This window comes from Homo sapiens, chromosome 18, assembly GCF_000001405.40.
Source record: "Homo sapiens chromosome 18, GRCh38.p14 Primary Assembly".
Classification (NCBI taxonomy): domain Eukaryota; kingdom Metazoa; phylum Chordata; class Mammalia; order Primates; family Hominidae; genus Homo; species Homo sapiens.
Window position 1 is genome coordinate 50,954,817 of NC_000018.10, and position 12,987 is coordinate 50,967,803.

General features: G+C 42.3%; 2 annotated features.

Moving 5' to 3' along the window:
• Window positions 7,290–7,490: a silencer, noted in NCBI's record as "peak3151 fragment used in MPRA reporter construct". NCBI's record gives its function as "represses an SCP1 promoter by STARR-seq MPRAs in K562 erythroleukemia cells {active_cell/tissue: K562}" and the evidence as "EXISTENCE:reporter gene assay evidence [ECO:0000049][PMID:32103011]".
• Window positions 12,852–12,911: an enhancer, noted in NCBI's record as "active region_13323". NCBI's record gives its function as "activates an Ori minimal core promoter by ATAC-STARR-seq in GM12878 lymphoblastoid cells {active_cell/tissue: GM12878}" and the evidence as "EXISTENCE:reporter gene assay evidence [ECO:0000049][PMID:35858748]".

A 12,987-nucleotide genomic window follows, 5' to 3' on the forward strand; every position in this document is an offset into this window, starting at 1 on the left:
TCTTTTTTTTTTTGAGACAGGTTCTCACTCTGTCACACAGGCTGGAGTGCAGTGGGGCGATCTCAGCTCATTGCAGCCTCTGCCTCCTGAGTGCAGGTGATTCTCCCACCTCAGCCTCCCAGAGTGCTGGGATTACAGGCGTGAGCCACCGTGCCCGGCCGGCCTACACCACTTTTTGACAACTCCATCATACTTCTTTATTGGGAGGGCTGGCATGGTGAAAGGCCCCAACTTGCATGGAGGCTGAAATAGGTAGCCAGACCAATAAAGGCCTATCGTTGCCTCTATAGCAAATAACACCTAGATACCTCAGCAAGAGCAGTGGGTCAGCAGCACCTCCTTCCCCAAATACAACTGCTCTGTTCTTGAATCCTGAACAGTGTGGACCTCAAATACCACCTGGTCTGTGTCTAAACTGAATAGAATACAACTTCAAAAACAAATGATTTTCTTTCTCAAGCTGATCTAAAAATTACACTTACAACCTCGCAGATCTCCAACTGCTGGGAATATAAGTAACTACCATCCCCAATTGCTGCGCTCTGAAATTCATCATGGCTTTCACATGGAAGCCATGCCTCCTGTGGGCTGCTCTTAGCCAGTGACTTCTCACAGCAGGGATGGTATGACAGGCCTATTCCTGGAAGACAGGAGAGTCCTCTGATGCATAGCTTTAGCTCAAGCCCTGCCCCGTGGCCTTGCCAAGCTCAGAACTGTACTTCAACCTAAGGCACTTCTTCACTCAACCTCTCTTTCTTTCCTCTCTCTTTCACTTGGGATCAGATCTGTATGACGCTATGAAGGCTCTTGCAGGCTCTTCCTGGCTCCCTCCCCACCTTCACAGACATTTCTTCTCATATAAATTACTTGCATATCAGCTGGGTACGGTGGCTCATGCCTGTAATCCTAGCACTTTGGGAAGCTGATGTGGGAGGATTTCTTGAGCTCAGTAGTTCGAGGCCAGCCTGGGCAACACAGTGAGACCTCATCTGTACAAAAGATACAAAAAATTAGCCAGCATGGTAGTGTGCCCTTGTAGTCCCAGCTACTCGGGAGGCCGAGGAGGGTGGATTGCTTGAGCCCAGCAGGTCAAGGCTGCAGTGAGTCCTGACTGAGATGTTCCTTCTTGGATGACCCAGACTAACAGAGCAGTTGATTCAGGATGTAGTTTTGCAGATGAGAAACACTAAAACTATTAGAGCTATTGGTAAGGTAATTAGACTTTCTAGATTTTCTGATATGATCTTTCTTCCAGATATACTGTCTCAACTCCAGACCATGTTGTGAGCTAACCTAAACCAATTCGGACACATGCTCCCAAAACAGGTACTTTCAAGTCAATAACAATACCAAAGAGGTTTGAGGTGGGTAAGGGTTAGCTACCCCCTACAACCTTACTACTAGGTTTTAATAAAAACAAGTCTCAGACCAAATTCTGCCATGTATACAAACATTCATTAAGCAAATATTCATTAATAAGCAGGCACAGGCCAGGCATGATGACTCACACCTATAATCCCAGCACTTTGGGAGGCCGAAACAGGGGAATCACTTGAGCCTAGGAGTTAGAGATCAGTCTGGGCAACATAGTGAGACCTTGTCTCTACACAAATTAAATTAGCCAGGTGTGTTTATATACACCTGTGGACCCAGCTACTTGGGAGGCTGAATTGGGAGGATCGCTTGAGGCTGGGATGTCAAGGCTGCAGTGAGTGGAGACTGTGCCACTGCACTCTATTCTGGGTGGCAGAGTGAGACCCCGTCTCAAAAAATAATAAGAATAATAACTGGCCGGGTGTGGTAGCTCACTCCTGTAATCCCAGCACTTTGGGAAGCCGAGGCAGGTGGATCACGAGGTCAAGAGATCGAGACCATCCTGGCCAACATGGTGAAACCCCATCTCTACTAAATATACAAAAAATTAGCCGGGCGTGGTAGCGGGCGCCTGTAGTTTCAGCTACTTGGGAGGCTGAGGCAGGAAAATGGTATGAACCCGAGAGGCGGAGCTTGCAGTGAGCTGAGATTGCACCACTGCACTCCAGCCTGGGCTACAGAGTGAGACTCCATCTCAAAAAAAAGAAAAAAAAAAAAAGAAGAAGAATAACTAAATAATTTAAAAAATAAGCAGACACAAAACAATTCATACTTCTTAGTCTACTCAGGCTGTCATAACAAAATATCAGAAACTGAGTGGCTTAAACAAAAATTATTTCTTCACAGTTCTGGAGGCTGGAACTCCAGCACTAAGGACACAAATCCTCAATCGGGCCCTACCCTTATGACTTGATTTAACCTTAATTCCTTCTGTAAAGACCTCATCTCCAAATACAGTCACATTGAGGTTTAGGGATTCAACATTTGAAATGTGGGGAGAGATTCAATTTAGTAAAGGTTCGCTCAAGGAGAAGAACAACCCAGAGGCAGGATTTTTATGCCCTCTACTTGGCATCATGAAATCAGAAAAGGTTCTCCCCAAGACAGCCAGGGAATCCAAGCTCAGGTGCCACTCCAAGGCACCTATAATCTCAATAGATTCTTTAGTTTGTTAATCCAAGGGTGGAGAAAATCTCTGAATTATTTCAGCCAATCTATCTATATTGAATACCCTGCATTTTACCAATGAGAGCTTCTTTCTAACATTCATCATGCTAACAAACCAATAAAATCCATTTTTTGACATTCAGTATGCTAATTTGCAAATCATTGGTTTTCTATCAAAATAATAGCAGAAGGTCTTGTGGTAGCTACTTTTGCAGTGCAGCTCTTCCTGATTTAAGGCAATCACTCCAGTACTCTTATTGGCTGACCACCCCCTAAAATTAAAGCTTAAATTAGTTGACAAATACTTAATAATACATCAGTAGACTGAAATACTTAAAAGCAAATTACAGGTGGGGCGCGGTGGCTCGCGCCTGAAATCCCAGCACTTTGGGAGGCCAAAGCGGGCGGATCACTTGAGGTCAGGAATTCAAGACCACCCTGGCCAACATGGTGGAACTTCATCTCTACTTAAAAATACAAAAATTAGGCAGGTGTGTGGCAGGTGCTTGAAATCTCAGCTACTCAGGAGGCTGAGGCAGGAGAATTGCTTGAACCCAGGAGGCAAAGGCTGTAGTGAGCCGAGATTGCACCACTGCACTCCAGCCTGGACAACAGAGTGAGATTACGACTCAAGAAATAAATAAATAGGCTGGGCATGGTGGCTCACGCCTGTAATCCCAGCACTTTGGGAGGCCAAGGCAGGTGGATCACCTGAGGTCAGAAGTTTGAGACCAGCCTGGTCAACATGGTGAAACCCTGTCTCTACTAAAAATACAAAAGCTAGCTGGATTGATGGCAGGCTCCTGTAATCCCAGCTACTCAGGAGGCTGAGGCTGGAGAATTGCTTGAACCAGGGAGGCACAGGTTGCAGTGAGCCGAAATCATGCCATTGCACTCCAGCCTGGGTGGCAAGAGCAAAACTCCATCTCAAAAAAATAATAAATAAAATAATAAATAATTAAGTAAATAAAATAAAATTGTAGCTATTGTAACAGATCATCTGTCCCAATTTCACTTAGAAAAGAGTCACTACAGATTTGGAAGGATAGTATTTAAAAATGCTATCAAGAAGGGTATGGAAATAGTTCATTTGAGTGAAATCCAAGTGCCACTATCACACACACACACACAATGTAGAATGAACTGAGGAAGAAGCAGGCTTAGATGAAGAAAGCAAAAGTTCTGTTTGGGTCAGTTAAGTTTGAGGTGTGTATTAGACACGTTTTGGGTGACACTTGACATTCAACTCTGTTATTTTGGAGTGATTTCTCACTATGTGTGGTGTTGCAGGGGATAAGGTGTTCTGTCCTCCTCTATAGAAGCCAAAGCTGGTGTGGGGAGGATCCGTCTGCTCCCTACCTCATGGCAACCAAGAACAGAGGCCAGTATCTACTGGTGTTGTGTCCATGGCAATGCCCTAAGAAGGCTCTGAGGCAAGACCTTGACTGTGGTTCCTGCTGCCTCCATTAGCTCATGTTTTCTGTCAGTTCTGTGGATTATCCAGTTTCCTTTCAGTCTGCTTAAATTAGCCAAAATTAACTTCTGTTCTAGTAACCAACAATTCTAACTGACATCGAATGAAGAAGATCTTAGCTGTTTATAAGGGTGTATATATTAGATCATTCAACCAGACTTTATGCAAAATGAGGACAGGAGTTGTGTTTTTTATTTTATATAGTCTCAAAATCTCTTTCTCACCCAGTCCAGGGCTCTTTCTCTCTTTCTTTCTTTCCTTCTTTCCTTCCTTCCTTCCTTCCTTCCTTCCTTCCTTCCTTCCTTCCTTCCTTCCTTCCTTCTTTCCTCCCTCCCTCCCTCCCTCCCTTTCTTTCTTTCTTTCTTTCTTTCTTTCTTTCTTTCTTTCTTTCTTTCTTTCTTTCTTTCTTTCTTTCTTTCCTTCTTTCTTTCTTTCTTTTGACTAGTCAAGCACAATAGTGAGAAGGGGGTAAAGAGTAGAACAAGGAGCTGAATCTGTAACTGACTGTGAACAATCTATTGAGGTTAATCATTACCTTTGGACCAGTACAGGGCTCTTTCTCTACTCTATAGGTTTAAGCAGTGCTTGATTTCACATAATCAAATGATCAACAATTTCTGACTATAATTTGAAAGAAAAATAGTGATGAAGCCTGCCATGTTAGCAGTTTGTTGGCTCTAAAACTTGCCTACTACTTTTTTACTAATTTGTAATCAAAGGCACTATTTTCCCGCTTCATTCTATGTTAATTACCTCTGTAGACAAAGTTCATTTACTGATTCTAGGAGACCACTATTATATTACATGTAGATTACCTCTAAGCAGAGAGCAAGAGAGAAAAGAGAAAGCAGCTTTCTCTTATCTGTATAAATTATAGTATTAGATGTGTTAAGTATCACTTTGAAATGACTTAAATTTGAATAACACATTACAAAGCATTTCAACAAGCACCATTTAGTCCTTATAGCAAAAGTTTAAGGCAAAAAGAGCAATTATTAACCTCATTCTACCAATAAAAAAAAAGAGGCTCTGAAAAGTTAAATGACCACCTGATCCAGGTCACTCAAATACAATGGGACAAAATCAAGATTTAAATTGTATTTTGACGGAAAAGTCCATGTGGTTAAGCAATGAAAAAAGACAAATGAAAAATTGGGTAAAAGATGTGCAACTTATTTCATAGTTAAAGAGTTATTGGCCACGCGCAGTGGCTCACACCTTTAGTCCCAGCACTTTGGGAGGCCGAGGTGGGGGGATTGCTTGAGCTCAGGAGTTTGAGACAAGCCTGGGAAACATGGCAAAACCCTGTCTCTACAAAAAATGCAAAAATTAGCTGGGTGTGGTGGCACACACCTGTGGTCCCAGCTACTTGGGGGGCTGAGGTGGGAGGATCGCTTGAGTCCAGGGAGATCGAGGCTGCAGTGAGCCATGATCACACCACTGCACTCCAGCCTGGGTGACAGAGTGAGACCCTGTTACAAAAAAAAAAAAAGAGTTATTATCCCTAATATATAGAAAGCACCAAAAAAAAAAAGAGAAGATAAAGGCCACTAATACAATAGAAAACTGACCAAAAGATATGCACAAAAAGTTCACAGAAAAAAATACAAATGGGGCCAGGTGCAGTGGCTTACACATGTAATCCTAGCACTTTGGGATGCTGAGGCAGGCGCATCACTTGAGGTCAGGAGTTCAAGACCAGCCTGGCCAACATGGTGAAACCCCGTCTCTACTAAAAATACAAAAATTAGCTGGCCTGGTGGCGTGCACCTGTAATCCCAGCTACTTGGGAGGTTGAGGCGGCAGAATCACTTGAACCTGGGAGGCGGAGGTTGCAGTGAGCCAAGATCATGCAAGTGCACTCCAGCCTGGGTGACAGAGCAAGACTCCATCTCAAAAAAAAAAAAAAAAAAAAAAAGCAAATGGATCTTAAATTTATGAAAACATACTCAACATAGCGCACTTATCAAAGATAAATGCCATTTTAAACTACATTAAGATATTAGATTGGCAAAAATCCAAAAGTTTGACAACATTATTGGCGATGAAGATCTGAGGAAAAAGGCACTCTCATAAATTGCTTAACGGAAGTCAAAATGGCACAATGCTCATGGAGGGAATTTTAGCAATATATAGCAAAATTATATGTGTATTTACCCTTTAAGCCATCCATCCCACTTGGTATAAATCTATGCCAAAGATACACTTGCAAAAATAAAAAATTACTTATGAACAAGACTATTTGTTACCATACTGTGATAACGAAACAAAACAAAAAGCAGAAAGCAAAACTGGAAACAACCCAAAGGACTGACTGAATAAAATGATACAAAATCACACAGCAAGTACTAGATAACTGTAAAAAGGAATGAGGAGGAATTTTGTGTATTGATACAGGGTTGTGCTTCTTAGAACTTCCTTCAGAAAAAAACTTGCCATTCAGCTACAAGGAGTGCACCTTTACTAGTTCATTTTGGTTTTCGTTCATGGGAATTTTAATTATCATCTGGAGGCCATTTGCTTTCAGCCTGAAGATATTCCTTTAGTATTTCTTTTTTCTTTTTCTTTTTCTTTTCTTTTTTTGTTTTTGAGATGGAGTCTCGCTCTGCCATGCAGGCTGGAGTGCAGTAGCACGATCTTGGCTCACTGCAACTTCCGCCTCCTGGGTTCAAGCGATTCTCCTGCCTCAGCCTCCCGAGTAGCTTGGACTACAGGCATGAGCCACCGCTTTTTTATATATTTTTAGTAGAGATGGGGTTTCACCATGTTAGCCAGGATGGTCTTGATCTCCTGATCTCGTGATCTGCTTGCCTTGGCCTCCCAAAGTGCTGGGATTACAGGTGTGAGCCACCGTGCCCAGCTTCTTTTTTGTTTTTGTTTCTTCCAACAGGGTTTCACTTTGTCACCCAAGCTGGAGTACAATGGTGTGGTCACAGCTAACTGCAGCCTCAACCTCCCAGGCTCAAGTGATCCTCCTGCCTCAGCCTTCCAAGTAGCTGGGACTACAGGTGTGCACCACCATGCTTGTGTAGTTATTTTTTTATTTTTATTTTTTGTAGAGAAGAGGTCTCCTTATGTTGCCCAAGGTGGTCTCAAACTCCTGGGTTTAAGCAATCCTTCCATATCAGCTTCCCAAAATCCTGGGATTAGAGGCATAAGCCACCACACTCAGCCTGGTATTTCTTATAAAGCAGTTCTGCTAGCAACAAATTCTCTCAGTTTTTGTTTATCTGAGAAAGTCTTTATTAATCTTCATTTTTGAAAGATAGCTTTGCTGGATATAAAATTCTTGGTTGACAGGTTTTTTTTCTTTGTGCACTTTAAATATGTTATCCCACTGCCTTCTGGCTTTCATTGTTTCTGCTGAGAAGTCATCTCTTAATCTTGTAAGTGATGAGTCATTTTCCACTTGCTATGTTCGAGATTTCCTCCTTGTCTTTGCCTTTCAGCATTTTTATTATGATGTGCCTGTCTGTAGGTCTCTTTGCATTTATCCTATTTGGAGTTTGTTAGCTTCAGGATGTGGAGATTATTGTTTTTCAATAAATTTGGAGAAATTTCAGCCATAATTTCTTTTCTTCTGCTTCTTTCTCCCTCTCCTGATATTCTCAATACACCAACATTCGTGTGCCTAACCATGACCCACATTTTTCTGAGGTTTTATTTATCTTTCTTCATTCTTTTTTCTCTTTATTCTTTAGATTGCATAATTTCTGTTGACCCAGCTTCGAATTTGCTAATTATTTCTTCTGTTAGTTAAAATAAACTGTAGGGCCCCTCTAGTGAGTCCTTCTTTCTTTCCTTCCTTCCTTCCTTCCTTGAAATGAATAGAATAACATATAAAAGAACTCCAATATGTCTGGCAGGAGATTTCTCTGTGGAAAACTTACAGACCAGGAGAGAATTGCATGATGTATTTAAAGTGCTGAAGGAAAAATGCTTTTATCCTAGAATATTGTATCCAATGAAAATATTCAAAAATGAAGGAGAAATAAAGATTTTTCCAGAAAAACAAAAGCTGAGGAATTTTGTCAACACTGCACCTGTCCTAAAAGAAATGCTAAAGGGAATTCTTCAATCTGAAAGAAAAGGATGTTAACAAGCAATAACATATCATCTGGGCCAGGCATGGTGGTTCACACCTGTAATCCTAACACTTTGGGAGGCTGAGGTGGGAGGTTGAGCCCAGGAGTTCGAGACCAGCCTGGGCAACATGGTGAATCCCTGTCTCTACAAAAAATACAAAAATTAGCTGGGTGTGGTGGTGTGCAGCTGTAGTCCCAGCTACTTGGGAAGCTGAGGCAGGAGAATCGCTTGAGCCCAGGAGGCAGAGCAGTGAGCCGAGATAGCACCATTACACTCCAGCCTGGGCAATGGGAGTGAAACCCTGTCTCAAAAAATAAAAAAAAAAAAGATATCATCTGAAGGTAGGAAACTCACTGGTAACAGTAAGTACACAGACAAATGCAGAATATTATAACACTGAAACTGTGTTCTTAAATTCAAGACCTAGAACTGTTACCGACCTCGATCCCTGGTGGACTGAACAAAGAGAGTGAATGCGGGAATAAAGACAAAGACAAATAAAGACAAAGACAAACAAGTATGTTTGGAAGAAGGGGTCGGGGGCACCTTGCTTCTAGTGGACAAGGACCCAGACTTTCTACAGCCCTTCGTATTTATTGGTAAAAGAGATAGTGAGAAGTGGGGTGGCAGAAAAGGTCAGGTGCTCGGTCCACAGTGGGCTTGCAAAACTGCATTCCTCGAACAATAGGCTCTAGATGTCCCAGTAGATAACCTCAAGGAGCCCGGTGCCAGGCAGTGACCACCCTCAGCAAACCTTCTGGTGGCAGGCACAGTGTGAGTTTGCCCACATCCTGCATTCATGATAAACAGTTTGCTGTTTGATCATATAGCCTCCAGTGGAATGCTGAGTTGGTCATGATACCTTTGGCCTTTTCAGCTCCCAACATAGAACTAGGGAAACTACTAAAAGAAAACACTGAGGACACTCTCCAGGACAATGATCTGGACAAAGAGTTCTTGAGTAATACCCAAAAAGTACAGGCGACCAGAGCAAAAATGGACAAATGAGATCACATCAAGTTAAAAAGTTTCTGGCACAGCAAAGGAAACAACCAACAAAGTGAAGAGGAACCCACAGAGTGGGAGAAAATATTTGCAAACTACCCATCTGACAGAGGATTAATAACCAGAATTTATAAGGAACTCAACAACTCTACAGGAAAAAATCTAATCAATTAAAAATGAGCTAAAAGTCTTAATAGGACTTCTCTCAAAAGAAGACATACAGATGGTCAAGAGGTCTATAAAAAGGTGGTCAACATCATTGATCATCAGAGAAATGCAAATTAAAACTACAATAAGATATCATCTAACCCCAGTTCAAATTGCTTCTATCCCAAAGAAAGACAATAATGAATGCTGGCAAGGATGTGCAGAAAGAGGAACCCTTATACACTGTTGGTGGGAATGTAAATTATTAGGTTGCTGCAAAAGTAACTGGTTTTTGACATTGAAAGTAATGACGGCCAGACGTGGTGGCTCACGCCTGTAATCCCAGCACTTTGGGAGGCCGAGGCGGGTGGATCACCTGAGGTCAGGAGTTCAAGACCAGCCTGGCCAACACGGTGAAACCTTGTCTCTACTTAGAGTACAAAAAAATTAGCTCGGTATGGTGGTACGCACCTGTAATCCCAGCTACTTGGGAGGTTGAGGCAGGAAAGTCACTTGAACCCAGGAGGCAGAGGTTACAGTGAGCCGAGATTGTGCCACTGCACTCCAGATTGGGGGACAAGAGCGAGACTTTGTCTCAAAAAAAAAAAAAAAAAAAAAAAAGAAAGAAAGAAAAGAAAGTAATGACAAAACATCACAGAACAGGGGAAAATCCCATTTACCCTGATGTGATTATTACCCATTGTATGCCTGTATCAAAATATTTCATGTACCTCATAAATACATATACTTACCATGGACCCATAAAAATAAAAAAATTTAAAAATTTAAAAAGTTATAAGAGAATTAGGAAATTTGAACAGTCACTGCATATTTGATGATATTAAGGAATTATTTTCTTATTTTTATAATATAATGATATTATGGTTCTATTCTTAAAGTCCTTATCTTTTATATATATTTACATACTACAATGCTGACCATCATTATATTGTGATGAGATTTTTTTAAAGGGTCCTTAAATGTTCATAGAGGTATTTATGAATAAAATGATATTTTGCCTGGAATTTGCTAAAAAATAATCCAGGGTTTTGTTTTTGTTGTTGTTGTTGCCTTTGGAGAGAGACGGTGATACTGTGGATGGTTGTCCTCTCCAAATCTCATGTTGAAATGTGATCCCCAGTGTTGGAGGTGGGGCCTAGAGGGAGGTGTCAGATCATGGGGGTGCATCCCTCATGAATGTCTTAGTGCCATGCCCTTGGTGATGACTGAGTTCTCACTCTATTAGTTCACTGGGGAGCTGGTTACTTAAAAGAAGCCTTGCCCCTCCTCCTCGCTGCCTCAGTATGTGACATGCCTGCTCCCTCTTTACCTTGCCATGATTGTAAACTTCCTGAGGCCCTCACCAGAAGCAGATGCCGGCAGCCACTTTCTGTACAGCCTGTAAAACTGGGGGCCAAAATAAACCTCTTTTCTTTATAAATTACCCAGTCTCAGGTATTTTTTTATAGCAATGCAAATGGACTAATACAGAGGAATTATAGGTGTAACAAGATGGATCAGATGTTGCTAACTGTTGAAGTTTAGTGATGATTGTATGTAAAGGTTCATTCATAATTTTCTCAACTTTTATATGTTTGAAATTTCCCATGATAGAAAATTTTTTAAATGAACAAACAGTTCTATCCACTATTCTCTAAAAGTGTGATAACCTCTGAGAAGGGAGTAGGAAGCTTTGATGGATGGGCAGAAATAAGTCCTAGCCAGGTCTATGGAGAATACTGCTCTGGGAGATCCCTAGCTCAGGAGTCTTAAACCCCTGGGCTGCAAACCAGTAAGGTCTGTGGCCTGTTAGGAACTGGGCCACACAGCAGAAGGTGAGCGGCAGGCCAGCAAGCATTATTGCCTGAGCTCTGCCTCCTGTCAGGTCAGCTGGGGCATCAGATTCTCATAGACCTGTGACCCCTATTGTGAACTGCACATGGGAGGGATCTGGGTTGCATGCTTCTTATGAGAATCTAACTAATGCCTGATGATCTGAGATGGAACAGTTTCATCCCAAAACTCTATGCCCACCCCCTGCTCCCAAGGAAAAGTTATCTTCCATGAAACTGGTACCTGGTGCCAAAAAGGTTGGGGACTGTTGTCCTCGCTGATTGTGATCAAGACCAAGCTGTAGAATGCTATGTGTCTTCTTAAGGAACTTTTAGCTAGGCAAGTGTCAGGAGAGATAAGTCCAAGTTCCAGTGTTCAATGCTTTGTTAATTTAGACCCCACTTGACCAAGTCCATTTTATTTTTTTTATTTCCACATTAATTCAAGTGTCATCATCCTACAAGATTCAGCTCAAATCCTACCTCTTCCTCACTCATCTCTTAGCTAGTGATCTCCCTTTTTCCATATCCTTTTAAGTGGATTGTTTCCTGACTGAGTGTAGGCTCCTTAAAACCAGGGACCGGCAGGGCACGGTGGCTCGCGCCTGTAATCCCAGCACTTTGGGACACTGAGGCGGGTGGATCGCTTGACCTCAGGAGTTTCACACCAGCCTGGGCAACACAGTGAAACCCCATCTTTACAAAAAAAAAAAAAAAAAAATAGCTGGGTGTGGTGGCTTGCCTGTAGTGCCAGCTACTTGGGAGGTTGTAGTCCTGTAGTCCCAGCTACTGATACTTGGGAGGCCGAGGTGGGAGGATTGGTTGAGTCCAGGAGGAAGAGGTTGCAGTGAGCTGAGATCGCGCCACTGCGCTCCAACCTGGGTGATAGAGTGAGACCCTGTCACAAACAAACAAACAAACAAAAACCCAAAACCAGGGACCATGACAAATTTTTAAAATCTCTCAGCCCCAAAAATAATACTATCCACAAAGTCAGAGCTCCATTAATACTGGAATAAAGGTTAAAAGAGCCCAATAAGTAGAAGTAGATGAGTTAATGATTTTTAAACAAGTGGCAGTCTCTCTGTCCTGGTAGTTTCAAGAAACACCACTCCGATTCCTATTTTGAAGCTGCTGGATTTTTTTTTTTTTTTTTTTTTTTTTTTTTAACAGAGTCTCGCTCTGTCGCCCAGGCTGGAATGCAGTGGTGCGATCTTGGCTCACCGCAACCTGCACCTCCTGGGTTCAAGCGATTCTCATGCCTCAGCCTCCCGAGTAGCTGGGACTACAGGCGTGTGCCACCATGACCGGCTAATTTTTTTTTTTTTTTGTATTTTTAGTAGAGACGAGGTTTGCCATGTTGGCCAGGTTGGTCTCGAACTCCTGAGCTCAGGCAATCCGCTCGTCTTGGCCTCCCAAAGTGATGGGATTACAGGTGTGAGCCACGGCGCCCGGCCAGCTGCTGGATATTTTGACCACCTCAAGTACGCTGAGCACGAAATCAGTGCATCTGGCAGTACACAGGAGCTTGAAATACTTTTTTTAAAAGTTGTTATTCAAACTGAAGGAGTTTTTCCCTGTGGTCTGTAATCGCCACGTGCCCGTTCTGTATACAGCCAGCCTGGGTTTTTCAATCCCACGTCCGCTACCTAAGAGAACACCAAGGCTTGGAGTGAGTATGGCACAATCAGCTTCAGATGTTAAGCAAATATTCCAACCTAGAGTAGGAAAATGGAATATGGACGGGGCTTTATGAAGGTGCATGGTCAGGCAAAGGATCTTAGTGGATGAAAGACAGTAAAGATTCATCCCAACCAAAGACCAAAAATGACACATATGTATGAGCAAAACATCAGGAAGAACACTCTTATGTGGAAAATATTACACGGAAAACAAAAGAAG